This window comes from Homo sapiens, chromosome 6 (genome assembly GCF_000001405.40).
Source record: "Homo sapiens chromosome 6, GRCh38.p14 Primary Assembly".
Classification (NCBI taxonomy): Eukaryota; Metazoa; Chordata; class Mammalia; order Primates; family Hominidae; genus Homo; species Homo sapiens.
Window position 1 is genome coordinate 33,180,043 of NC_000006.12, and position 24,398 is coordinate 33,204,440.

Genomic DNA, 24,398 nt, shown 5'->3' on the forward strand with positions numbered 1-24,398 from the left:
CTGTTCTGCCCAGTCCTAGAAGACTGGTGTTTTGTTCTAGGTCACCTAATGAGGCCCCATCTCCCCAACCCCAAAGACGAATCCCTTTGGAGTGATGATCTTTGATGATCTTTAGAGACTCCTCCATATCTTTCCTGCCCATCTGGTTCTTGGTAACATGACACAATTCCTTGTCTTCCCCATCAGCATGTTCCAAAACCCAAGAGACAACTCACTGGGAGCATGAGAGATGTGCCAGGAGGACCAGGAGCCCCATCTGATCCAGGGAGCCCTGCTCGGCCAGGGGGGCCCTGGAGTGGGAAGAGAATGCAAAAGATGGGGTGAAAGATAAGGGGACATCAAGATCTTAGCATGATTTTGAAATATCCTCTTCAACAGAATAAGTGTAGATTGCTCTAGCTCTTTCCTGAGTCTCCCACCCCCATGGGGAAAATTGAGGGTGAGAAACCAGATCAGCACCCTCCCCAACCAGAGTCTGCCCTCCTTTCTGGTTGCTGGGAAGCACAACCATCCCCTCATTCATTAACAAGCCACCTAACAGGAAATTACTGGGCATGGTAGCCCCCCGCTTGGATACCACTAGCTCCCCCGAAGCTCCCCCGTCACATGGAGGACACCCCCTTACCCTCTCTCCAGGGTCTCCAACTGGGCCTGGGTTCCCCTGGATGCCAGGGGGACCAATCAATCCCTGAGGAACAAAAGAGTAGGGGTCAGGTGTGGGCATTCAGACAGGTGTGGACACTCAGCCTGTGGCTGAGGAGTGGTCTGTGCAGAACAGATCTGGGAATCTGGGAAGCGTTGATTGGAGGGATGCTCCCGAGTTCTGAGGAGGAGGCCTGGGCATATGTGGGGAAGGCTCAGATGAGCACATAGAAGGGGTTTCTAAGAAAAGAATGGCCACCAGGTCACTGCTAGACTTACCGCAGGGCCTTCTGGGCCAGGGGGCCCCTCCACGAGCATACCCTGTGGAGTCAAAGGTTAAAAATCAGAGGCGACAGGACCAGCACACTCAACCCCACTTGCTTCTCCTATTTCCACTGCCTCAGCCCTGTGACCAGCATAACTTACAGGTTCCAACACTGCAGGCTCTCCTTTCTCTCCCTTCAGCCCTCGGGGTCCATGGGCAGCCTGAAGGAGACACACATGTAGCCCCCAGTGGGGCCCGTGAGCAGCCAGGACACTAGGCCTTTCTCCATCTCAACTCCAACCTTGATTCTTAGATCCTCTCGAGACCACTTCAGCCCTACCCGAAAGCCCCACAGCCCTCCCCTAAAACTCCCTCTTCACAAACCTTTCAAGCCTGCCAAGGAGACCTCAGGGTTCCCTGCCCCCCCAGTTCCCAGCCCCACCTCAGCAAACACAACCTCTCCATCTCCCTGAGAGCCTCTTTCAGGAAGGTCCCCAGAAACTTCCAGTGTTTTTGTTTGTTTGTTTGTTTTTCTTTTTTTTTGAGACGAAGTCTTGCTCTGTCACCCAGGCTGAAGTATAGTGGCGCGATCTCGGCTCACTACAACCTCTGCCTTCCAGGTTCAAGTGATTCTCCTGCCTCAGCCTCCCAAGTAGCTGGGATTACACTGGGATTACAGATGTGCACCACCATGCCCGGCTAATTTTTGTATTTTTATTAGAGATGGGGTTTCACCGTGTTGGCCAGGCTGGTCTCAAAGTCCTGACCTCAGGTGATCCGCCTGCCTTGGCCTCCTAAAGTGCTGGAATTACAGGCGTGAGCCACCACACCTGGCCCCTTTCAGGGATTTTAAACCACCCACCTTCCCAAACCCTCTTCTAGAGGACCCTATCCCATCTCCCAAACTCCCTCCCTAGAACCTTAAGAAACCTTCCACACATTTACCCCAATACATCATAAAAGAATCTCTCTAAGATTGTGGGTAGATTTTTATTTGGGGTAAGAGGAGGGCATGGACCCACATGAGAACCTGATAAAAGCTAGGCCGGGCGAGGTGGCTTACGCCCATAATCCCAGCACTTTGGGAGGCGGAGGCAGGCAGATCACCTGAGGTCAGGAGTTTGAGACCAGCCTGACCAACATGGTGCAACCCCGTCTCTAATAAAAATACAAAATTAGCTGGGTGTGGTGGCACATGCCTGTAATCCCAGCTACTTGGGAGGCTGAAGCAGGAGAATAGCTTGAACCCAGGAGGTGGAGGTTGAAGTGAACCAAGATTATGCCATCGTACTCCAGCCTAGGCAACAAGAGCAAAACTCCATCTCAAAGAAAAAAAAGAATCTGATGAAAGCTGTGAGTCTTTCTCCAGAAATGAAAAAGTATATGCTATTATGCACAGAATTTTATTTAGGATTTCAAAGGGTTCACAAGTTTAAATATGCCCCAAAGGTTAAGCATCCATACTCTAAGTAAATTTGGAGGCCAGGCACGGTGGCGCACGCCTGTAATCCCAGCACTTTGTGGGGCCGAAACAGGCAGCTTATTTGAGGTCAGTAGTTTGAGACCAGCCTGGCCAACATGTGAAACCCCGTCTCTACTAAAAATACAAAAAATAGCCGGGCGCAGTGGCACATGCCTGTAACCCCAGCTACTCGGGAGGCTGAGGCAGGAGGATCGCTTGAACCCAGGAGGCAGAGGTTGCAGTAAGCCAAGATCCTGCCACTGCACTCCAACCTGGGTGACAGAGTGAGACCCTGCCTCAAAAAAAAAAAAAATTGGAGAGCAGTCCCCACTGAATGCATTGCCCTTCCTCTGGCCCTCAAGTACATTCCAAGCCCACCAGTTCCCTCCCTTGCACACCTCCACTCAGATACCTGTTCCCAACTCTAGGGCCAGAAACAAAATAAGAACATGGAGAATGGGAGACATTCACCACCACCCCAACTCCCCCCAACAAAGATCTTCAGAATGCCCCTCTCCACCTTCATTCTGACCAAACAGCAATGATCCGTTTCAAAATTCTCTGAAATCCCATATCAACCCCAAATACCCAGAGAGCAGCATAAAGGAAAGGCAGTAGAAGCTCAAGGGAGGCAAGAGAGGGGAGGTATGGGATGCGGCAGCAGGGTAGAGGAGGCAGCCAGAACTGCAAGGCAGGCAGAAGACGGAGCGGAGTAGACAGGAAGCAGTCCCACTGACAGGGAATACTGGAAGATATGAGAACAACTAAGGGACACAGAACAAAATGACAAACACTTGGAAGCAAGAATGATGCCAGGGCCGAAGAAAATTAAACATGGCCAACATGGCTAGAAAACAAACTGGACAAACAGGAAGTGGCTGAACAGACAGGAAGCAGTGAAGGAAAGAGGATCCAGGAAGTGAACCTTCAACAACAACATGGCTACCGTGACCCAGAGAGAAAAGAAAGGCACAAAACAGGTAGAATGTGACTCCTGCAAAGGGAATCATGACAGTGAAGGGTAATTCTTCCAGAAAACACAAACATCAAGGCTAGGACACACAGGAAGTAGCCATGAGAAATATCGAGGCCCACAATGGAAACTTTATGATTTAAATGACCTGAGACATACAGGAAGTGGCTTATTGTCAAAGGAAATTGTCACAAGATAGCATGAAAAACTAGAGCCAGAACAGAAATAATAAATCCTTTGCAGTCCAACCTGACACAGTTACCAAGATGGATGCCACAGCTGGAGAAGGCAGGAAGGGACAGATAATAAGTGGCCTGTAGGTTAAAAAAAGGTGACATAGGAAGTTAGATCGTTTGGTAGAAACATGAACAAAAAATTATTTCACCAAGAAGAAATGATAGAGAAACACTGAAAATGGACACAAGGTAGTAGTTTATTGACCAAAAGCTTTATGAAATCCAGCTTCAGTTAGACAGGAAGTGATCAAGAAAGACAGGAAGTGGCTACATATTTTTTTTTTTTAATTCCCAATTGCCCTGAGCTTCAGAAGTATCCACAAGAGTCACAAGGTAAGACATTTGGCAAAGGAAGGCAGGTAGTAATCTTTTCAAGCAACATATACATCATATGTGAACAGAAAATGACAAGTCACAGATGGGAAATAGCTCACAGCCAACAGCCAAGGATCGAAACCAACAAGAAGCAATTCTTGTAGCTCCCACTGGTAGTCAAGAATGAAAGAGAAGCTCCTTTCACTTACGGCTCCTGAGTGGGCTGTCTCCGCAGAGAGGGCAGGGCCAAGCTCTGTCTCCTCACGATAATCATCCCCATAGCCATAGGTGTAATCGTAGGGCCCTTCAGGGGGGTCTGTGCCACCCTCCCCATATTCCTCTGCCTGGAACCTGTCGGCTGTGGGGGGGACCTGGAGATCTGTCTGCTCCTTCCCAGGGATGGGGAGGGAGAGGGGTAGATGGGGATGTTAGGGCTGAGAGGAGGCTTACCCTGGACCCCAGGGTGTGACAACTTCTAGCCCAAAGGATTCCAAGGTTAATCAGAACTGGATTTTTTCTCCCAAGAATAGCCATGGGAGTGGTTGTATATAAATGGAAGGGCCATCAAAGGCCAAAAATGGGGAGAGATGTCCAGAAAGTGGGTCCAGTGGGAAGAAGTGGTGGATAAAATGAAGGGTGGCCAGAGGACTGGATGCAGAGTGGACAGTCCATGGACACAATGACAGACAAAGGAGTCCAGGAATGACCAAAGAGATAGGGAAGACAAAAGGTGACAACACTGGACAGAAAGTGGCTCCCGGGAACAGAAATAGGACATAGAAAGTAAGACCATTAGACACCAACATGGAGACGAAGTCACTCAGGAATCAAAGAATCATGGAAGGAGGCCTGGATACTGAAGGGAACGGGCTGGACTTAGAGAGTCAAGCAGGCCCATAGTTCTAGAGTGACCCAAAGACAGAGGCCATCGATGGAAATGAGGAAGAACCCTCCGGCCAGAGGAGGGGCTGGTCCATCAAGACGTCATGGGCTGAGGGGAGTGAGTCACAGGTGCCCACTGCCCCCAGATGGGGTGAGGGTGGGGCATAGAGTTACCTCCTCAAGGGGTGGCAAGAGGCTCGACTCCAGGATTTCTTCCTCTTCACCTGGGGTGGGGTCCTGACCCCAAGGAGAGAAGGAGAAGAGTAGCACGGGGTGGGAAGGAAGGAGAAAGGTTAGCAGAAGGGAGGCAAAGCAGCACCTGTCCCCCGAGGGCAGGGTCTGTCTGTGCTGGGGGATGGGGGAAATCTCAGATCTTGCAGCCCCTTTGGAGGGGGATAGTTTGGGGAGAGTGAACCTCCAAGGTCATAGAGGTTTGGGGGCAGAGATCTGGATGCCCCGGCTCTACCTGCCGGTAACTGCTGCCTCTGGTCCTGGGGCGGGGCCAGGCAGTGGGGGAAGCTGCCCTCCGAGCTGGGCATCGGGAAAGGGGAGGCTGCTCCCATGCTGGGTCAAAGCCTGCAGTTGGAGAGGGCCTCCGGCCTGGTGAGGGGGACGCCTGCCAGGTCATTGACCTCTTGGCAGGTGGGGTAGGCTTTCAGGGAGGGGTCCGATGCCCCCTAGGGGAAGGGGGAGGCCTGTGGTGGGGGCTCCCAGGGCGCTGCAGCAGAGAGACAGGGAGGGGGCAGGAACTAAGTAAATCCCCATAATCTAAACACACTGTGCCTCTCCCCACGGCATGGGGGAGGGGAGGAAGGTGTCCTAGGAGATGATTGCTGGGGGTGCTGGGAGAAAGGGAAGAAATGAAGGGGTCCCTTGAGTTTACCTGATAATCAGGGGTTGTCCCCGTAGTCATCACATCATAATAGGGGGGCTCGTAGTCATAGTAGAGAGACTCAGTGGGCTGGGATTGGGGGGTGGGCATAGACAGGAAGGGGATGGGGTAATTGGAAGGTGTGGGGTGAAGGGCGGGAGAGGGAGATATAAAGATGGTGTGGGAGTTGGGAAACGGGGGAGGTGTGGAGTTGGGAAACAGAGAGTTGAAGATGAAAGGAGAGGTTGAGGGTCAGGAGGGAGGTGGGGAGAGGTGGAACAGAGGGAAGGGGTTCCACATGTGGGGCAGAAGCAGACATGATTAAGAGATTGACCCTCTGATCTTTAGACCACTGACCCCAGAGCCTATCTGTATTCTAACTCTCCAGACCCCATCCAACCCAGGCTCCCTTCCCTTCCCTTCCCTTCCCTTCCCCCTACTACCTCCCCTTTTCCTGCCCCTCCAGGTAGGTGGGGGCCAGAGACTGGGTTCCCCACTCCCACACTTCTGCAGACCCACCCCTCCTTTGATATTCCCTCCATCCCTACTCCTTCCCATTCCTCCTCCTTGGTCTCACCATCCCGACTGCTTTCTCCTGGCTTCAGTCCCCTCTCCTACCTGCCTCCCCAGCTCTCACCCCTCTCCCACTGTCTCCCAATCTCTTAATTCAAAGAAGGAAGGGAAAACCCAGGGACACAGTTCCAGGAAGACTGGAAGAGGAGACGCAGAGCAGGGAACACAGCTCCCAGCCACAAATTCTTCATAACAACTCTTTTTATTTTTAGATGAAAATAAAAAGGCTGATGAATGAGGACTAGGAGGAGGGGGTGATGGGAATAGGGAGATGAGGGTGGGGAGGACAACTAAGGAGGAGAGATGCCTGGGTGTCTTCCCTCTCTGGGGTGTGCTGCACTTGGGGGTTCTCCCAGCTCCCTCACCTGGCTCTGGGGTTCCTGATTTTGTGGCCTGTGAAGTCTTGATGGTTGCTGCTGTGGAGATCTCTGGGCTCTGTGAGGCTGTTGGTTTTGGGGTCTTTCCCTCTGGCCCCCCTCGCATTCCAGCTCCTTCTGTTCACATGATTCATAGGCTGCCTGGACCCCTGGGACAATGGCCAGCTCCTGGACATCACCCTGCAAAGACATGAGAGAGATGGAGCGGAGAGATTCAGAGAGAGGCAGAGGGTATCATCCGGGAGAAAGAGTATAGGAGGCCAATCCTAGGTAAAACCCTAAGATGGGAGAAGGTCACTGTCAGTCCTCCATATGCATAGCCCTTTTCAGTTTTCAAGGGATCTCATAGGACCTTCATAACAACCAGGAAAGTTGGCAGAACAAGGATCTTTCTTTCTACCCATTTTTCAGATACGTTCCATTCAGAAAAGCCCAAAAAGGCAATGACTGCCCCAAGGTCACCCAGAGTGGCAGAATCAGGACCAGATCCCAGGCCTTCCAGAATTCTTTGCCTCCCCTCTGCGCTTTGTGGCAATGCATGAGCCCTTCCACAGTGGCTTCCAGAGACAGGGCTCAGCTTTAGATGCCTTGGCCTTCCAATGGCAGTGATGATGAGAATTCTCTGGACCTCTAGAAATGGAGTGGGGAGAACCCATTCCTGAGTTCCAATGGCATTTACTTTTGCCCACACATGGTGCTTAGCATACTCTCCATTGCACCGTAATTTAGGGATGTTGTCTCATTTCCAGAGCCCACCTGGGAGCTCTTGGGGGTGATAGAGACTTTATATTCTCTTCTTTGTTCTCCTTGTCCAGCAGGTATTCAGAAAATGTTGACTGGCTTGGAGGGTGAATGGAGGGATGGGTGAATGGAGGGATGGATGAATGGATAGATGAGTGGATGGGTGGCTGGGGGCTTACATGCATTAATGAATGGGAGCATTGATAAATAGTGAATGAATAAATGTACGTATGGGAGGGTGGACTGGTGGGCAGATGAACAGGGGTTACAGAGTAGATGGAAGCAAATGGGTGAATAGGTAGATGGGTGAACTTATGTGGGTGAATGACTGGTCGGATGGGAAGTAAGTGGGTCAGGAGATGGGTGAGTGAGTATATTGAAGGAGGGAGTGGTTGAGTTGGTGGAAGGATAATGGATAGATGGTGGCTGAATGGATGCATGCATCCTTGTGTGCATGGGTAGATGGGGAGGGTGGGTGGGTGAGTGAATAGCTGGATGGAGGAGTTGAAGAGGATAGATGGGTGGAAGCATAGATGGGTGGTTTGAAGGGGAGAGTGGTTAAGCAGGGGGAGGATTGACAGGTGGGTGGATATAAGCCTTCATGCATGACTAGGTGGGCGTGTGATGCATAGATGAGTAAATAGATGGGGGAGTGGGTGGTGGATGTGTGCATAGGTTGGCTGAGGAGTGAGTGAATTGATGGGTGGGTGAGGAGAGAGAGGGGTTGAAAGGATGGATGGATGAGGGAACTGATGAAGACTGAAGGACAGAGTAAGTGGCTGTGGACAGTCCTGCCATATAGGTAGGCATCTAGTTCTCCTGCAGAGAACAGTAGCCCTGAAGATAGAAAATAGAAATGAAAATTCATAAGAAAAAAAAATGAAGGCCTAGGGAATAGGAAGATGACATGCTGGGGCCAGAAGGGTAGTGGGCACAAGATAGGGGACCAGAAGTCAATCCTGCCTCTGATTGCTCTGGTTACCTCAAAGACTTCTTCATCCAGAATACGGGCACCAAAGATGATCACTCCATGGGTGTCCAATACTGGACGAGCACTTCGGGGGAGAGGCCGGGTGACTCGCTTCTTGCAGTCAACAATGAGGGTGACAGACTGGCCCTTCACAGCCACAGCCACACGGTGCCACCTGGAAATGGTGGAAGAGGTTCAAGTGAACTCTTGGCTGACTGAAGTAGGGGAGTCAACATGGTTGGAGAGCAGTGATAAGAGTTGAAGCCAATGGTGATAAGAGCAGTAATAACAATGGCTACCATTTATTGAGTGTTTACAGTGCACCAGACACCATGCCGTCACTTTCTTATTTGTGCCAATTCTATTTAATGTCTATTTTACAGATGTAGAAACTGAGGCTCAAAAATTTTAAGTAACTTGCCCAAGGTACAGGCTAGTTCAACATGCAGAGAAGGCTGTACACTCTAAAGCCCAAACTCTGGACTAGAAGTGACTGAAGTTTGGGCAGTGGGTAGGTGTGGTGTGGCCCAAAGGGTCTCAAGGGTTTCACAGTTTAGAGTGTAGGGGTTTGGGGGCACTTCCTCCTGAAAGTGTGGGCCAGGCAGACCAGAGGAGCAAACAAACTTACTTGCCATCTGCTAGGCTGAGGCCTCGGAAGACTGGCTGAGAGGGAGGTTGAGGCCGCCCAGTCTGGTCTTCATACAGGAAGCGGACAGGTCGGCCCAGCTCCAGGCCCAGCTGTCGGACACCCTGGGCACTGTAGAGAGTCAGGAGGGGAGCTTGGAGACCAGGGCGGGTCCGGACAACAGTCAGCAGAGAGAAATCTTTGGGAAATCCTCCTAGTAACCGAGAGAGATACACACAGAGTGAGAGGCAAAGGGAGCCGCCACAACCCCTTTCCTCCTGGTGTCTGATCCTAGGCCCCATCCCATTACCTCCCCCCAGGCCTACCCCACCATGTCACCCATACCTGGGAAAAGCTGGCGAGTGGGTGCACTGAGCTGGGCAGGTCGTGCCACTCGGTAGGCCACATCAGCTGGACAGATGCCTTTCGCTCTCCGGACACCATCAGGGAGGGAGGGGAACCTCAGGGCCCGGAGCACATCCACAGGGGGTGCACCTGGGAGAGTCCATGATTATCAGGAGAAGGGACATGCCCTCAGGAGGGCATAAATAGGGGACATTTGGGATCTAGAACTCAGCTTTCCAGGGCTCAAACTCCCTGCAAGGGAAAGGTCACCTCACCCTCACTTGCTTCTGAACAGTACCTGAATGGATGGGAAATGCAAAGGTACCTGGAGGCAGGGCAGCATCAGCTGGCATTCAACCCCATGACACTCCTGCCCCTGTCTCTCCTAGCATCTGCCTCTCTTACGCTCTCTCTTTGTCTTTTAGCTTATGAATCTGTCTCTCTCTGTACTCTCTGAATACTTCTCTCAACTCTTCATCTGTCTCCTGTCTCTCTCACTCTCTTACTCTCTCTGTCTCTTTATGTTGGTCTTTCTGTCTCTGTCTCTTCTGTCTTCCTCCATTTCTCTCACATTCTGTCCATCTTTTTCTCTCCCTCGCTCTCACTCTCTTTCCATATCTCTCACTCTCTGGGTCTCTGGCATCTGTCCCGTCTCCAGCACAAACAACATCTGGGCAATCGATCATCCTGGACACAGGAGGTGCAGGGGGGCCACGAGGAAGAGATCAGAGAAGCAGCTCTATGAGAGGGGCTTCAAGCAGCTACAGATCCCAGGTTTGGGGGATGGGGTGGGAACAACCCTGAGCATGCTGAGGAAAAAGATACAAGAAAGCTCTCCCAGGAGTCTGTGCCTCCTGGTTTAGGAGATGAGTTGGGGAGGGGTGGAGGAATGGGGGGCAGGGGCTGAAGCTGCCACGAGGAGCCGGAACAGGTCCAGGGCCCTGAGCCACACATCTGTGGATCCCATCAGAGTGCTTGCCCAGAACCCAGGCAAGCTCCCCACACCTGGAACCTCAATCCTGTCTCACCACCCCCACCAACCCCACCACCTGGGACCCAAAGATTCAAGATCCAGCCCACCAGCCCTGTCTAACTAGAACTCAGCTTCCTAGGGCTCAAACTCCCTGGAAAACAAAAGATCACCTTGCCCTCACTTGCTCCCCTATACACATACTCTTCACACCATCAGCTCCAGATTGGAAAAATCCCAAAGAGAGTTCCAGCAAAACTTTCATAGAAGTGTGGGGCAGGGCAGAGGCCAGAGCAATCAGGAGAGTGGAGCTGGGTGGGGTGGGTGAGGTGGGGCGGGCAGGCAGAGAAAAGGCCCTTTGAGTCCAGGAGCCGGGAAACCACGGCCTTCCCCCCCAACCCCCACCTAAGCCTGGCCCCTGCGCGTGTGGCAGCTCCGCAAACACCAACACACAAGGGCCGCTTTGAGAGACGAAGGGTGAGTGAGACAGAGACACAGAGACTCACAGAGACCCCAGGCCAAGGAGACCTCGGAGGTCCCCACCCTCCACCAAATCCCAAGGGAGTACAATTCGATCATATGGACAACCTACCCACAGGTCCGCCCACCATCTTCCCACACCAGGCCACATACTTGCCCCCCTGTATCCAGCCTCATCTGCCCCACAGGCTCTCCACTGGTAGCCCCATTACCCTCCACCACTCTACCTCTGGCCCCCCAAATGCCTTATTCTCTAACCTTAGGAATTCTACAGTAACTCATTTCCCTAAAGTCCCATCTCTACCCACTCAGCCCCTGAAATAAGAAACAGTCATCTTAGCCATCCCCCTGCCTCCATGCCAGAGGATCCCTCTTCCCCCTAAGAAAGACTCCTAGAGTCTACAGGCACCATACGCCTCAATTTCCTGGCCCTGGGCTTCACTGTCCTCACATCTTGGAAGTTCTTCCTTCTGTAATCTAATCTAAATCTTTTGTGCTGCCATTCTGACCATTTTCTCTCTAAAGCAGAGAAGAATTGAATAGTCAAGTTAAATATAAATCAGCCCTCAGTGTCTCCAGAAATGGGCTTTTTCCAGCCTGCTGAGGACCTGGTGCTCACAGCCCCCTCCTTGACATCAAATCCCCTTTCCTAGAAGCCAGGAATTCTGGGTCCTGGGAAAAAGAAGGAAAAGATCAGGGTTGTGGGCACCAGGGTCCCAGGGGAGCCTGGCTGGCCAGAGGGAGGAGGGGCTAGGCAGGAATGCAAAGAGTTGGCTCTGGCCTCAGACACCTGATCCTGGCCTGTCCGGAGGGCCGTCCTGTTGGCAGCCAGCCCCAGTGCTCCCCAGAGCCAGCTGCGTGGCAGCATCGAGGGCACAGGGAGGGGGAGGGGGACCCTGTCCAGGAGGCCAATGAGACAGGTAGTCAAGGCTTCCTTTCTTTCTGGGCTTACTGGGCTCTGCTCTGAATCACAGGTGCTCACCCCTTATCCCAGAGATATCGACAGAAAGGCCATAAGACACACACGCCTCACCCATCAACATTGGCGTCTACCATCCCCACACCAGCAATGACTGGACCGGGCTGGCCCTGGCCATCTTCAGCTCTTCCCAAGGACTCAAGACAAGCATCCATCCCCATTCAGGGTCTCTAAAGTGGTCCTCCACCTTTCAGCCCTATCTGCCCTCCCCCAGTCACTTCAAGGACAAAGAGATTCCTACCCTGATGCCAAGGAACACAGGTGTCCTGCCCTCCAGCCTGTAGCCTTGAAGCCCCAAATCTCCTTGTTAGACTCAGAAGCTGCTGCCCCAGGCATCAGCTGGCCCCTTCCCAGAGACACTCAGAGCTCCAGCCTGACTCCGAGGACCCAGGCATCAGGACTCCTCTTACCTGCCCAGCCTGGGGCCGCGCTCAGCCCCAGCACCAGAGGTAGGAGGAGGAGGAGGCGATGGCAGCGGCTGCACCGCTCCATGGCTGAGAAGCCGAAACGCCGGGTCCCAGGGACCCAGGTCGGCCTGAGACGCTGGATGCCCTGAGGCTGACAGAAGACAGGGAGCAGACTATGAGCCTCAGACGCCGGGGTCCCAGGGAGGTCAGAGGCTGCGGGCAGCGACAGCTGTCAGCGGCCCAGCTCCATGCAGCAAGGCGCCGTCGGGGCTCCCGGCACTGCTCCCTCCTCGGTGGCTGCCGCTTCTGTGTGTCCCCGGCCACCCTGGCGCCCAGAGCCCCCACCTCGCCCCCGCCCCCGGCCCGGCCCCCGCCTCCAGCCGCCCGCCCACAGCCACCGAAGGGAAACCCCACCCTCAGTCTCCACCTGGGGAGGGAGGCGGGAACCCTCCCTCTATCGCTCGCTCTCTCCTGCCCCTTGTAGGTCTCAACGGCCTGTACCCTAAGATTCTCTTTTCGGGAACCCCAATATCTTCCCTAGCCCCTTCCTTTTCTAGGACCCAAACGTCCAGTCACACACACTCCCTCCCATTCCCTCCCTCTTGGGGGCCCAGAGCCCCCTTTCAGCAGAGGCCTGGGCGGGATTTAGGGCACAGTGGGAGGGGGAGAGGCGGGCCTGGGGGTCGCAGTCCCCACCCCACCCATAATCAGGTCTCCATAATTACTTCCCTCACCCCGCCCCGTGTAATTACAGAGCCGGGCCGGGGCGGGGGTATTTATAGACAAGGCTATAGATAGCGACGAACTGGGGCGGGGGATGTGGGGGAAGGTGTTCTACGGAGAGCAAGAGGCCAGAGACTGGGACCCACCGACAAACACAGGATAGTCAGGTCCAAGGAGATGCAAATGGGGGACGCGGTTAGGGAGTCCCAGAGCCGAGGTAGAGGGGGAGCAGTGGTAAGATGAGCGAGCAGTCGACTCTGGTTGGAAGGGTCCAGGGAAATGGGGTCACTCGGGGACGTGGGCCGCCTCCGGGCGGGCAACGCCTGAGAAGCACGCAGCGCTCGGCGCCCAGTGCGCCCCCACGAGCGGGCACGGCGCCGGGTCTGCCCGGAGCCCGCAGCGCGCCCGGAGGGAAGGCCGCAGCGAGCCGAGGCGCCGCCGCCCGCTGGCGCGGAGAGGGCACGAGCGAACAAGGCGCCTTTGAGAATCCACCGCCCCCCCTTCCTCCTCCGGCCGGCCCCGCCCCCAGCCTGGCACACCCTCTCCCCCCCTCCCCGACAAAGCTTGCCTTGTGTCCCCCACCCTGCGTGCACCTCTTGGGCCCCACGGAACCTCGGCGGCGGCGTCCAGGGATCGCGTCCGGAGCTCCCAACCGGATACCCCCCCCAAGCCCGAAACGGCGCTGCCCATCCTCATACAGTCACCTCAGTCCAGAAAACAGCGATTTTAATTTGAAAGCGATTTTATGTATGAGAGGGGAAAGGAGCCCCAAAGAGAAGGGACGCAGGGCAAAAATCATGCAGCCCCAGCACCCCACCTCTGCGGGCTGGCCACCTCCCCTCAATTCTCAGGCCAGGATCCTGTGTCCCCAGCCTATGCTATGTGCCCAGGGCTGGAGGAGAGCTGTAAAGGGAAGGCCTCCGGGACTACACTCGTGAAACCATCCCCTGTGGGGGCCCTGTCCTCACAGCCCAGGCCCCTTCCCCAAGTTAGACAGGAAGAGATAGGGGGGGCGGCGGGAAGCTGGGAAGGCTAGTGCTTGGAGAGCCCTAGGGACAGGCCATTTCAGGGCCCTGCCTTTCCCAAACACCCACCTCCACCACTGGCATTTCTTAGTCAACCTGGGAAAGTACAGTACTTCTTTGAGTCTAACTGCAAGTCTCTATCCTCACAGGAAATTAAAAATAGCAGATCGGTTCCTACATCTCCACCAGCCCCTTCACCACCACCACCACCTTTTTTATATTTCAGTCTGACTGCAGAAGGAGGTGAAGTGTAAAAAGAGACTCTGGACAGTGACAGGGCCCCTCCCTCTTCCAGAGAGGCCCCCATCTGCCAGGTTTGAGAGGAGGAAGGCCTGTCAGGGCCCTACTCTCATGTCCATCAGCTTGGGAGGCCTGCCCCCCAGTATCCACCTCTGGGGGAGTTCCCCATTTCCACTCTTCAGATGGGAAGCAAAATGAGGCAAGATGAGAAGGAAGCAAGGTCCTGGAGGCAAGGCCAGTGCTTTGTGCTGGGGGAAGGACAGAGGGTGAGAAATCACCCCAAATCATGGGAGAACCCGACAAATTCAGAGACTCAAGGCCACCGAAGAGAGACAACCAGTCCTCACAGGTATCTGGGGTCCCTTCCAACTTGGGATATCAAGCAGATCCCTTGGAGGGTTTATGTTCTTGGTTCTGCCCTGTACTTCTCACCCCATCAAGGTTCTGGGAACATGGCCCCCCACCCTGCCCCAGGGCTTGGAGTCCCTCTTGGATGTGTGCTCCTCCAGTGTGAGAAGCACCACGTCTGGGTCTGAGCTCAGGCCAGTTGATGGGGAGCCTCAAGCATCTCCATGAGGAAGGTGTCGATGGGGGTGTCACCAATGAGCTTGAAGAAAAACAGATGCTCTAGACACTTAAGGCCAATGGACCGGAGGGCAGGAAGACGTAGCAGCAGCTTGGCAAACCTGGGGTGGAGGTGGGAGAAGGGGATTGAGAGCTGGAAGCACACGGGCCCTGAACACATCCTCATAGCACTCCCCACCCCCAAGGGAGCCTCAGTGCCCCCCAGCCCCATCTCACCGTCCCTGCTGCTCAGGGTACTTCTGTTTGCAGTAGGTCTCCAGTGATGCATACACTTTCTCCCGCAGGACCTCCACCTCACTAGGGTTGGAGAGGCCCTTGGCATCTGGGATGGCAGGGAAGAGAGGAGGAAGAGAAATGAAGACAAACCAAATCAGGATGGCCATGCAGATGTGAGCCACAGGATGCCCCTTTTGGGCTGCACTTGCTTGCCCTTTACCAGAGGCCTGGCAAGGGAAGCAGGGCCCACTGGGTTTGTGGGATGGATCCGTGGATGTGGGTTTTTCCTCGGCCAGTTGGGAGATTTCCAGGTTGAGGGTCTTACTGAGGGGGATAGCTGGGTAACTTAGGAGTCTCGGAGAAGAGGAGGCTCCAAGGTTGCCTTGGCCTTGAGAGACAAAGGTAATCCTCCTCTTACCTGGATTAAACAGAATGATTGCCCTCAGGCAGCCAAGCTCTGTCTTGTCCATCCTCATGTCACGCATTTTGGACACTAGCTCTGTCAGCACCCTGGAGAGGGACCTGCAGGTCACTCAAAGGTCACAGCTCAGCCAGCCTTGGACACGGACCAGCCTATAGCCCCACCCCCTCTATCTACATGCCAGCCTAGCCGAGGGCCACTGACCGATCAAAGATGGCTCCTACTCCTGCTGAATGGGCTGAGTTGCGGTGCACGTGAAGACCTGTGGCAAGGAGGATGCCATCTCGAACATCAATGGATCGGTGTGAGAAGGAGGCAATGAGGAGTTCATTCCAGCCTGGGTGGGGCAGCAAGGGTCAGGAGCCAGAAATCAGGCCAAGGGATTCAAAGCACATCAGTGGAAGAGAAGGAGAAAAGAGGTGGCGAGGTCAGCAAGTTTGGCTCCCTGGGTACGCAAGGTAAGGCCACTGGGGTCACTAAAGATCGGGAAGTCAAAGAGGGGTCAAATGTCAAGAAGTCAAAGGGATCCAAGGTCACTGACCTGCCCGCAGCAATATGACCTGATCATCCAGAGGCAAGGAGGAAAAGTGTGGGATCCTCTTCGCCCACTCAACAAGCGTGAATAGCTGTTTGTCAGCTGCCTGACAGATGTTAGTCACAGGGTCATTTGGCTGCAGGGGACGGGGGTAAGAGTTATGGAAGATTTTGAGATATGCTGGGAGCCCCCTTGTAAGAGGCTTTTGACACCCCCTCCTTACATATAGTCTTCCTGTGAGCCCCATCCAAACCAATCCCTGTAAGTGAGTCTTCTCTTCTGGCATTAGTGCAAACAATTATTTATTTGGGACATGCCTATGGTTCTGCCAGTGGGTTGTTTGGGGAGTGGAGACAGAAGGAGCTATCACATCCACCTCAGATGTTTGAAAGACCTTGTTTGGCAGCACCTCCAGTCCCAAGTAGTGTTAGGAAGGTTATGAGGGGAAAGGAGGGGGAGGGGATGTAGAACAGACCTAGACTGCCTCCCCCAACCCCCATCACGAAGGAGAGTGGATTGACCCCAACACTCACGCTGCTGCCGCTACCCCCGGTTCCCCCAGGACCCTCAACGCCCTGGTCACTCTTCTGTTCCACAGCAAGCTCTGCCTCCAGGATCCTGTCCACAGGCATCTCCTCGGGGGCTCCCCCAGCCCCCTCCCCATCCCCATCCTTGTCCTTTCCCCGCTGACGCTCCTCCTGTACCGCTGCAGGGGGAAGGGGGAGAGAAAAAATGGAAAGTCAGCAGCCAGCCATGAAGGGGTTCCACAAATATCCTTACGGCCTCATCAGGATCTCATGGCCCTTGGGAGATATTTATAGGAATTGGGGAAGTCACTAGAAAGGGTGGACTGGGGGCAGCCCTGAAGGAAGGGTTATAAAAGGGCAGGTAAGTCAGTCGGGAAGGGTGAGGTAGGTAAAAGAATTAGGGAGGAATTTAAATGGAGAGCCTACTACATGGTTAAAAAAAACATGCCAAGATTCAACCTGAGAAAGCTGATTGAAAAAAAAAATTTTTTTAAATAAAATATGCCAAGAAACATGCTAAGCACATTTTACCATTCACTCAATTATCATAATGATGCTGGAAGCATTTATTCTCATTTTTAAGATGAAGAACTCGGGGTTCAAAGAGATTAGTTTGCTTAAATTCATATAATACATGGCAGGTCATACAACTGACTCTAAGTGTGTCTGAGTGCAAATCTTGTGCTCTTCTGACTCAACAAATAGGCAGTGAAAGGAGCACTGGCCTAGGTCTTTGAAGATGTGGGTTCTGATCCCAAACCTGCCTGCCACTCCTTTGTTGCATGACCTTGGGAAAGCCAAGCCTCAGGCTCATCTTCTCTAAAGTGGGTGTTTTGACCAAGATATGCTCTAAAGTGTCTCTCAGAATCCTAGGAATCTGACTTAAGAAGATAAGATGGAGACACAGAAGAAGGAAGGGAAGCCCTGAGGTCTTCAGTAAAGTCTGTAAGCTTAAGAGTGCCCAGTCCCAGGAGTTAGAGGAAAGATCACAGATAACAGGAGACAGAGACCAGAGAAGGTCCATGGAATCAGAGGAGGAACCACTCAGGTTAGAAATGGGGAGACAGCCCATCATGGCTAAGGAAAAGTTATCCTATCCTAGGATCAGTCTAGGGAGGGGTCATATGTGCAGGCCACAGAGGCCTAACCATTAAGAAGGAAACTCAAGGGCCAGAACAGGGTAACAGGGAGGAGAGCTGCGAAGGGAGAGAGAAATCAAATATCGCCCTCTAGAGGAGAGAGAGCAGTCCACCCTTCCAGAGAGGTACACAGTCTGAGTGGGATAAGGGAGAAGGGCATGTGGTCTAAGACGCCTGGGCAGGGCGGGTCCTTACCCTCCCTCTTCATGCCAGTGGCCAGGCACTTCTGATAGCGGCAGTACTGACAGCGGTTCCGCTGGCGCTTGTCCACTGTGCAGTCTTTGTTGTCCCGGCAAGAGTATGTAAGGTCTTTGCGGATGGTGCGTTTGAAGAAGCCCTTGCAACCCTCACAGCTGTAAACCCCGTAGTGTTTGCCTACAGGGAAAGGGGAGGAGCAATAAGAAGGTTGCATGGAGACACCTTCACCATTTAGTCTGTTTCCAATCTCCCCCTAGCAAAACTTAAAGTCCTCCCTGTTTGCCAAATACAGAGATAGGGAACCAGGAGCTGAGTGATGATCCAGTCCCAGTCTCCTCACTGTTCAGAAACCCTACACGCTGCTTCCTTTTCCCTCTGACCTTCCCCCCAATCGCGTCCTACATCTCAGCTTCAGCTTCTTTACTCCCATCAGGCCTCCCCCAGGTCACTTGCTCTGACCAAACTCCATAAGCCCTGGGAATCCCACAGGTGATGATACATGGCCCAGACTCTCCCTCTCTGTTCATCCTCTGAGCCACATACCTGAGCTTCTGTCCCCGCAGATTGCACATAGCCGTTTGCCAGCCCCAGGGCCACCTGGAGGGGGTGGACAGTGCAGGCCCCGGACCCCTAAGACTGGTGGCTTCACATCTTCAGGGGGGCCAGACCCACCCCCAGGGAGTGACACTGTTGAGTTAATCTGGGATGGGGGAAATAGGGAAGTCACAGGAAGACTTATTGGGAAGCAGAATGTCACAGAAGTGATGGAAATCATTCCCTACCACTAAGCAAGGCCCTGCAATGCACATTCCAGAGGCTGTCATTTACACTGCAGTCTATGTGAAAGGCCATCCCTGGAGCACAACCCCAAAGTGAATAAACAGGCCCCCCCTGAAATTGTGCAACACAGTGACCCTGAAGGGCAGGTGTCTTGGGAAAGCAGATGGGATCAAAAGGGCAGAAAATCAGATAGATGAAAAGGACATCAAGAATATCAGAATTAGCCGGGCGTGGTGGTAGGCACCTGTAATCCCAGCTACTCAGGAGGCTGAGGCAGGAGAATTGCTTGAACCCAGGAGGCAGAGGTTGCAGTGAGCTGAGATTGTGCCACTGCACTCCAGCCTGGGCAACAGAGCAAGACTCCATCTCAAAAAAAAAAAAAAAAAAAAACACACACACACACACAAAAACAAAGAATATTAGAGTTCTTTTAGGGGAGGAAGCATGCACTGAAAGATCAGTCACCTCAGGAAAGGCAAGGGGTCTCATAAAGACCACAGGCCTGACAAGGTTAGAGGATTGGAAGGTCAATGGGCCATGGGGAAGTTCACACAAGGATCTGGGGTTACAAGGAAAACAAGAAAATGAAAGTGGCCAGGCAGTAAGTTGGTCACAACCTCTCACCTGGGGGCTGCTGACAGGCCCGGAGAATCCTGGGGGAGCTGGAGGGGGCAGACCAGGGGACCCCATGGAAGAACTGATGACTGGAAAGGGAGAGCCCAGTGGGGGTGGTGGCATCGGGGGTGGGGGTGGGGCCCCAGAGCCTCCAAGGGATGGAGCTGTTGAAGGGGGTAGGGGTGGCCCAGGAGGAGAAGGGGGAGGGACTCCCTGGGGAAGGGGATTTGGGGAGGAGCTGTCTGGGCTTCGGGAGTCTGAGGGAGGGGTATGTACAGGCACACAGACACACAAGAGACAGAAGAGACAAAAAAAGAAAATGAGTCTTCAAACATCCAACTAGAGACTTTAATTCTCTAATACCCCACCGTGCCGGACCCAGCCCACTCCACCCATCCCCAAGTTCAGAGACACCCTGCTGTCAAACAACAGTGTAACTCCGGCTGGTCCGATGGTAGTGGGTTATCAGAACTTATTAACATTTGTGTCACTAAAATTGGTATACAACCTCCCACTGCTATATTTGACTGGCTAAAAAAACCCAAAAACAGCGTAACTCCTCATTGTGGTGAGAGGAGGGAGTTGACAAGGAGAGGAGGATAGTTCAGGTGAGGAAAATTTTCCAACCAATCCATTTGAATGAATACCAGGTCATCCCAAAGCCACACCTGTCTCGTGGGTGGGGCAGCACGTGGGGTAGACCATCGAGCCCCTCTATTCCCAGCGTAAAGCCAGGTAGCCAGAGCGTGCAAGGGAAAGAGACAGGCAGGAGAGACCCCTCCTAAGACGCAGGATCTGCCTGTAAACGCCCAAAGTCCTGAGGTTTAAGAGGAATCGTGCCCTTCCCAGGCCCGCGACCTCCGGTGCCCAAGGCCTCAAGCGGTCACAGCTAGGAGGGCGGAAGCTCCCCTTCCCCGCCCCGCCCCGGGGGGGAGGGTGCTAAGGCCCTCGGGAGGGAGGGGACGCGTGTTTACAAACAAGGGGGCGGGAGCGCAAGGAAAAGAGCACCGGGGGAGGGTGTGGGGGAGGGGTCGCAGATAAAGCGGTCACTGGCTCGCCTGCCCTTCTGCTGGGGCACTCACCCCGCCCGCTGTCGCCCATCCCGTCCCGTCCAGCCTCCCCTGGCTCCGGCTCCGGGGTTTGTTGTTCTCCGCCTGCCACCGCCGCCGCCGCCGCCGCTGCGGGATCCAGCCAGGGCCGTCGCCGCCGCCACCGGGACGCGACCCCACAATGCATTTCTTTTCGCACCCCCACCGGCCCACACTGCCCTGCGGCATGCCGCTGAGGGAGGAAGGGCGGGCGAGCGGCCCAAGACATGATCCCTGGCTGAGAGTAGGGATACCGAAGAGGTCCCAGGGATTCCCAAGGATTGATCGGAGGATTAGCTGAGCACGAGGAAGCCCCTGAGAGAAAGACTCTGGCCTGGATTGGGTCGAATTAAGCCCGTCGCTCTGCTCAGTACCAAAATGACAGCGCCAATGTGGCAGCCATCTTTGTACAGACGGGAAGTCTCGGCGCGAGTTCCCGCCCCCTCGTCTAGTTGGAAACCGAGGAGGCGGTCTCCTCCGGCCTGTTAGCCCGCCTCGCCCACCCTCCCCTCAAATCACCTCCACACTCGCGCATGCGTGTCAGTGCAGGATGGATTCGTCGCTACCGGAGTGCCGCCATATTGGTAAAGGCATTAGGGCGAAGGTGGAACGGAACTTCCTGTTCTCGCGGGATCTAAAGGCGGGACTGCCACGTCCAAGCAAACCGGGAAAGGAGAGGATCCCGGAGCCGGTGAGAATTCTCTGTTTTTTCTCTACCATCCTTTCCAGGCCTTTTCCTCACCTAATGAGTCGTAGAGACGAGGGCCCAGAGAGTCTGTAAAGTGGCTGGTGAAAGATTAGTGTCCCAGGGCCCTACATCCGGGAGGTGGTTCGGGATAAAGAGAACTAGTCTTGGGAACAATGTAGGTGGGAACTTAAGGGAATGGGAGAGCGGCCCATAGAGGTGGACGGAGGGCGCGATTGGAGTAAAGCGGACCCTGTGTAGGTATAGAGTTGAGTCAAGTGGAGTCACTGCCTCTGTCCCTCTGGTCAGCGTGATGGCCAGAGGCCTGGGGGCCCCCCACTGGGTGGCCGTGGGACTGCTGACCTGGGCGACCTTGGGGCTTCTGGTGGCTGGACTCGGGGGTCATGACGACCTGCACGACGATCTGCAAGAGGACTTCCATGGCCACAGCCACAGGCACTCACATGAAGATTTCCACCATGGCCACAGCCATGCCCATGGCCATGGCCACACTCACGAGAGCATCTGGCATGGACATACCCACGATCACGACCATGGACATTCACATGAGGATTTACACCATGGCCATAGCCATGGCTACTCCCATGAGAGCCTCTACCACAGAGGACATGGACATGACCATGAGCATAGCCATGGAGGCTATGGGGAGTCTGGGGCTCCAGGCATCAAGCAGGACCTGGATGCTGTCACTCTCTGGGCTTATGTGAGTCTCCAGGGGATGGGAGAGAGAAGGGCTGGTTCTGGATTGTTGGGAAACTCCACAGTACTTGACCTTGACTCTCCCTCACCAGGCACTGGGGGCCACAGTGCTGATCTCAGCAGCTCCATTTTTTGTCCTCTTCCTTATCCCCGTGGAGTCGAACTCTCCCCGGCATCGCTCTCTACTTCAGATCTTGCTCAGTTTTGCTTCCGGTGGGCTCCTGGGAGATGCTTTCCTGCACCTCATTCCTCATGCTCTTGGTAAGTAACCTCTGACTTCTACCTCAAATCTAACCTATTTCGTTCTTTGGAGGAAAAGGGTTCTTTCTCCTTTATGATCCCTGACCTTTCGATATTCCCCCAAATACACACTCATTGTGTCAGATATTCCCTCATCTGGTTTTCCCCCCTTCTTCCAGAACCTCATTCTCACCACACTCTGGAGCAACCCGGACATGGACACTCCCACAGTGGTGAGGAAGAGACAGATGGGGATGGGAGTTGGGGTGCTGGGGAAGGTCCGTCTCTCCCTATTCCTCACCTCCCGCACTTGAGGAGGAGGAGTCTGGAATGCACATCTCCCTTAATGTCTCAATGCCTCCATTCCCAGGCCAGGGCCCCATTCTGTCTGTGGGACTGTGGGTTCTCAGTGGAATTGTTGCCTTTCTTGTCGTGGAGAAATTTGTGAGACATGTGAAAGGAGGACATGGTCACAGTCATGGACATGGACACGCTCACAGTCATACACGTGGAAGTCATGGACATGGAAGACAAGGTGAGCCCAGGAACAACTTTCCTGAAAGCTGACTTGCCTGCCTCAGAATCTCCTCATCTTATGGCCCTCAGGAGGGAGAGGACATGTTGGAAGATCTGTTCTCCACTCTGACCAACTCTTTTCTTCCCTCAGAGCGTTCTACCAAGGAGAAGCAGAGCTCAGAGGAAGAAGAAAAGGAAACAAGAGGGGTTCAGAAGAGGCGAGGAGGGAGCACAGTACCCAAAGATGGGCCAGTGAGACCTCAGAACGCTGAAGAAGAAAAAAGAGGCTTAGGTAAGGGCCAGAGTTGGTGATAAATTTGGGCAAGGGACATCATCACAAATCACATGGAATATGTGCTGTGGGTAATGGCAGGTATCTGAGAAACACTAAAGGACTGGGTGTAAAGTGGTCTCTGAGGGGAGGTGTGAGAATAGCTGACCAAGACTGGAACAAGTGGTGATGGAAGCCTCTGATCATTTTCTCTTCTTGTCCTGTACAAGACCTGCGTGTGTCGGGGTACCTGAATCTGGCTGCTGACTTGGCACACAACTTCACTGATGGTCTGGCCATTGGGGCTTCCTTTCGAGGGGGCCGGGGACTAGGGATCCTGACCACAATGACTGTCCTGCTACATGAAGTGCCCCACGAGGTCGGAGACTTTGCCATCTTGGTCCAGTCTGGCTGCAGCAAAAAGCAGGTTGGTGATGTCTGCCAAACACAGCTGCCTCAAACCCTTTATCTCTCCTCACTCACCCTAAACCCAAACAGCCTCTTATTAGTTCCAAACAATTCATACTGTCATTGACAAGTCCTCTAGAAATGAGGGGGAAGAAGTTCTGGTTACTTTGTCCTTTAGCTCAGTATTTCTTAAACTGGTCTATAAACCATCTGAATGGTTTAGTGGAGTCTTACACACACACGCCTACTCAATCAGAAAGTCTGTGGAAAGGACCTCTGATCTCTTAAGATTTTTCAGAAATTGTCTATTCTAGACTGCTCCCTCTTCTCTTTTTATTTTGATGTTTAGTTTCCAAATCCATGTCCCCTATACCTATACCCCACCAGCCACTTCTAAACCACTGATAATCTTTAGCTATTGGTGAGTGCCTTTTTCTCTTTTCTGCCCATCAGGCGATGCGTCTGCAACTACTGACAGCAGTAGGGGCACTGGCAGGCACAGCCTGTGCCCTTCTCACTGAAGGAGGAGCAGTGGGCAGTGAAATTGCAGGTGGTGCAGGTCCTGGCTGGGTCCTGCCATTTACTGCAGGTGGCTTTATCTACGTAGCAACAGTGTCTGTGTTGCCCGAGCTGCTGAGGGAGGCATCACCATTGCAATCACTTCTGGAGGTGCTGGGGCTGCTGGGGGGAGTTATCATGATGGTGCTGATTGCCCACCTTGAGTGAGGGGTGGATAAACTACCCCTGCCCCAAACCTCTACCCCTAACTCCAGGTCAGGGGTGCGTAGAGGTTGGGGGCCCTGGCCAGGGACATCTGCCAAAGGAAGGAACTGTAGCCTGGGAGAATGGTTACTTTGGCATTAGGGCCTTCAAGGGCTGGCAGTCTTACAGAGGCTGGAGCGGTGAGAATGAGAGGCCAGAGGGACCATAGTGTTGGGCACTGTCTGACCATGTTGCATTTGGAAGGCTAAATGGGGCCATGAAGAAGGCTGGAAGGGACAGGGGGTGATGGCAGCCTACCTGGTGTCCCCTACCCCACCTGTTCTCGGAGAACCAAGTTGCTACACAGGAAGTTCTCCAAGGTCCAGTTTCCTTTCTCCCACCAGTTGGTGGAGGCTTCAGGGAAGACCAGAGTCCTGGACAGAGAGGGTAACAGGAGGAGTCGGGGATAAACATCAAACATCAATCGTGTGTCCTGATTTGGGAGTGATTGGGGGGATGGGGTGGGAGAGGGTTAGTTGGTATTCTCATGGCCTGATTTTTTTTGTTTCTATTCCTTTTATATCACTGTGTTTGAATCGAGGGGGAGGGGTGGTAACCGGAAATAAAGACCTCCGATCTTCCGCCCCACAT

At 53.7% G+C, this 24,398-nt stretch overlaps 3 protein-coding genes and 1 pseudogene across 24 annotated transcripts in view, besides 4 other annotated features; 2 read left to right on the forward strand and 2 right to left on the reverse strand.

Moving 5' to 3' along the window:
• COL11A2 (collagen type XI alpha 2 chain) overlaps positions 1–13,477 on the reverse strand; it is a 30,826-nt gene extending 17,349 nt beyond the window's left edge. Inside the window, exons 1-13 of one of the 15 annotated variants that reach the window (XM_017010250.2) lie at positions 12,541–12,966; positions 12,117–12,264; positions 9,278–9,427; positions 8,936–9,146; positions 8,320–8,482; positions 6,585–6,776; positions 5,659–5,736; positions 4,950–5,012; positions 4,103–4,282; positions 1,069–1,128; positions 922–963; positions 626–688; positions 216–290 (exon numbers count right to left, since the gene is read on the reverse strand). In XM_017010250.2, the coding sequence (XP_016865739.1) occupies positions 216–290; positions 626–688; positions 922–963; positions 1,069–1,128; positions 4,103–4,282; positions 4,950–5,012; positions 5,659–5,736; positions 6,585–6,776; positions 8,320–8,482; positions 8,936–9,146; positions 9,278–9,427; positions 12,117–12,198 (1,359 nt within the window). In that variant the 5' untranslated portion in view covers positions 12,199–12,264; positions 12,541–12,966. The other 14 variants (XM_047418183.1, NM_080680.3, NM_001424109.1 and 11 more) reach the window with 14 other exon arrangements.
• On the reverse strand, positions 13,546–20,811 carry RXRB (retinoid X receptor beta). 6 transcript variants are annotated; one of them, XM_047419239.1, is made up of 10 exons: positions 20,200–20,623; positions 19,127–19,374; positions 18,266–18,319; positions 17,720–17,899; positions 16,392–16,564; positions 15,865–15,994; positions 15,528–15,660; positions 15,321–15,424; positions 14,903–15,008; positions 13,546–14,787 (listed from the first exon to the last, which is right to left on the reverse strand). In XM_047419239.1, exons 4-10 carry the CDS (start codon positions 17,730–17,732, stop codon positions 14,640–14,642), a joined length of 807 nt encoding a protein of 268 aa, XP_047275195.1. In that variant the 5' UTR covers positions 17,733–17,899; positions 18,266–18,319; positions 19,127–19,374; positions 20,200–20,623; the 3' UTR covers positions 13,546–14,639. The 6 variants fall into 6 exon arrangements, with proteins under 6 accessions (XP_047275195.1, NP_068811.1, NP_001257330.1 ...); NM_021976.5 differs by having other exon boundaries at positions 15,321–15,412; positions 18,266–18,422; NM_001270401.2 differs by having other exon boundaries at positions 18,266–18,422.
• Positions 17,615–17,815: a silencer, noted in NCBI's record as "fragment chr6:33165434-33165634 (GRCh37/hg19 assembly coordinates)". NCBI's record gives its function as "represses an EF-1alpha promoter that drives an FKBP-Casp9 reporter gene in an ReSE screen in K562 erythroleukemia cells {active_cell/tissue: K562}" and the evidence as "EXISTENCE:reporter gene assay evidence [ECO:0000049][PMID:32094911]".
• On the forward strand, positions 19,559–19,650 carry RNY4P10 (RNY4 pseudogene 10; annotated as a pseudogene).
• Positions 20,352–20,853: an enhancer, noted in NCBI's record as "H3K27ac hESC enhancer chr6:33168171-33168672 (GRCh37/hg19 assembly coordinates)". NCBI's record gives its function as "activates a minimal SCP1, AML or CMV promoter by ChIP-STARR-seq in naive H9 embryonic stem cells {active_cell/tissue: H9 hESC(naive)}" and the evidence as "EXISTENCE:reporter gene assay evidence [ECO:0000049][PMID:30033119]".
• Positions 20,825–24,395, forward strand: SLC39A7 (solute carrier family 39 member 7). 3 transcript variants are annotated; one of them, NM_001077516.2, is made up of 8 exons: positions 20,825–20,896; positions 21,200–21,614; positions 21,703–21,871; positions 22,030–22,083; positions 22,221–22,385; positions 22,518–22,658; positions 22,868–23,064; positions 23,499–24,395. In NM_001077516.2, exons 2-8 carry the CDS (start codon positions 21,204–21,206, stop codon positions 23,769–23,771), a joined length of 1,410 nt encoding a protein of 469 aa, NP_001070984.1. In that variant the 5' UTR covers positions 20,825–20,896; positions 21,200–21,203; the 3' UTR covers positions 23,772–24,395. The 3 variants fall into 3 exon arrangements, with proteins under 3 accessions (NP_001070984.1, NP_001275706.1, NP_008910.2); NM_001288777.2 differs by having other exon boundaries at positions 21,200–21,346; positions 21,719–21,871; NM_006979.3 differs by having other exon boundaries at positions 20,825–21,614.
• Positions 20,854–21,355: an enhancer, noted in NCBI's record as "H3K27ac-H3K4me1 hESC enhancer chr6:33168673-33169174 (GRCh37/hg19 assembly coordinates)". NCBI's record gives its function as "activates a minimal SCP1, AML or CMV promoter by ChIP-STARR-seq in naive H9 embryonic stem cells {active_cell/tissue: H9 hESC(naive)}" and the evidence as "EXISTENCE:reporter gene assay evidence [ECO:0000049][PMID:30033119]".
• Positions 21,356–21,857: an enhancer, noted in NCBI's record as "H3K27ac-H3K4me1 hESC enhancer chr6:33169175-33169676 (GRCh37/hg19 assembly coordinates)". NCBI's record gives its function as "activates a minimal SCP1, AML or CMV promoter by ChIP-STARR-seq in naive H9 embryonic stem cells {active_cell/tissue: H9 hESC(naive)}" and the evidence as "EXISTENCE:reporter gene assay evidence [ECO:0000049][PMID:30033119]".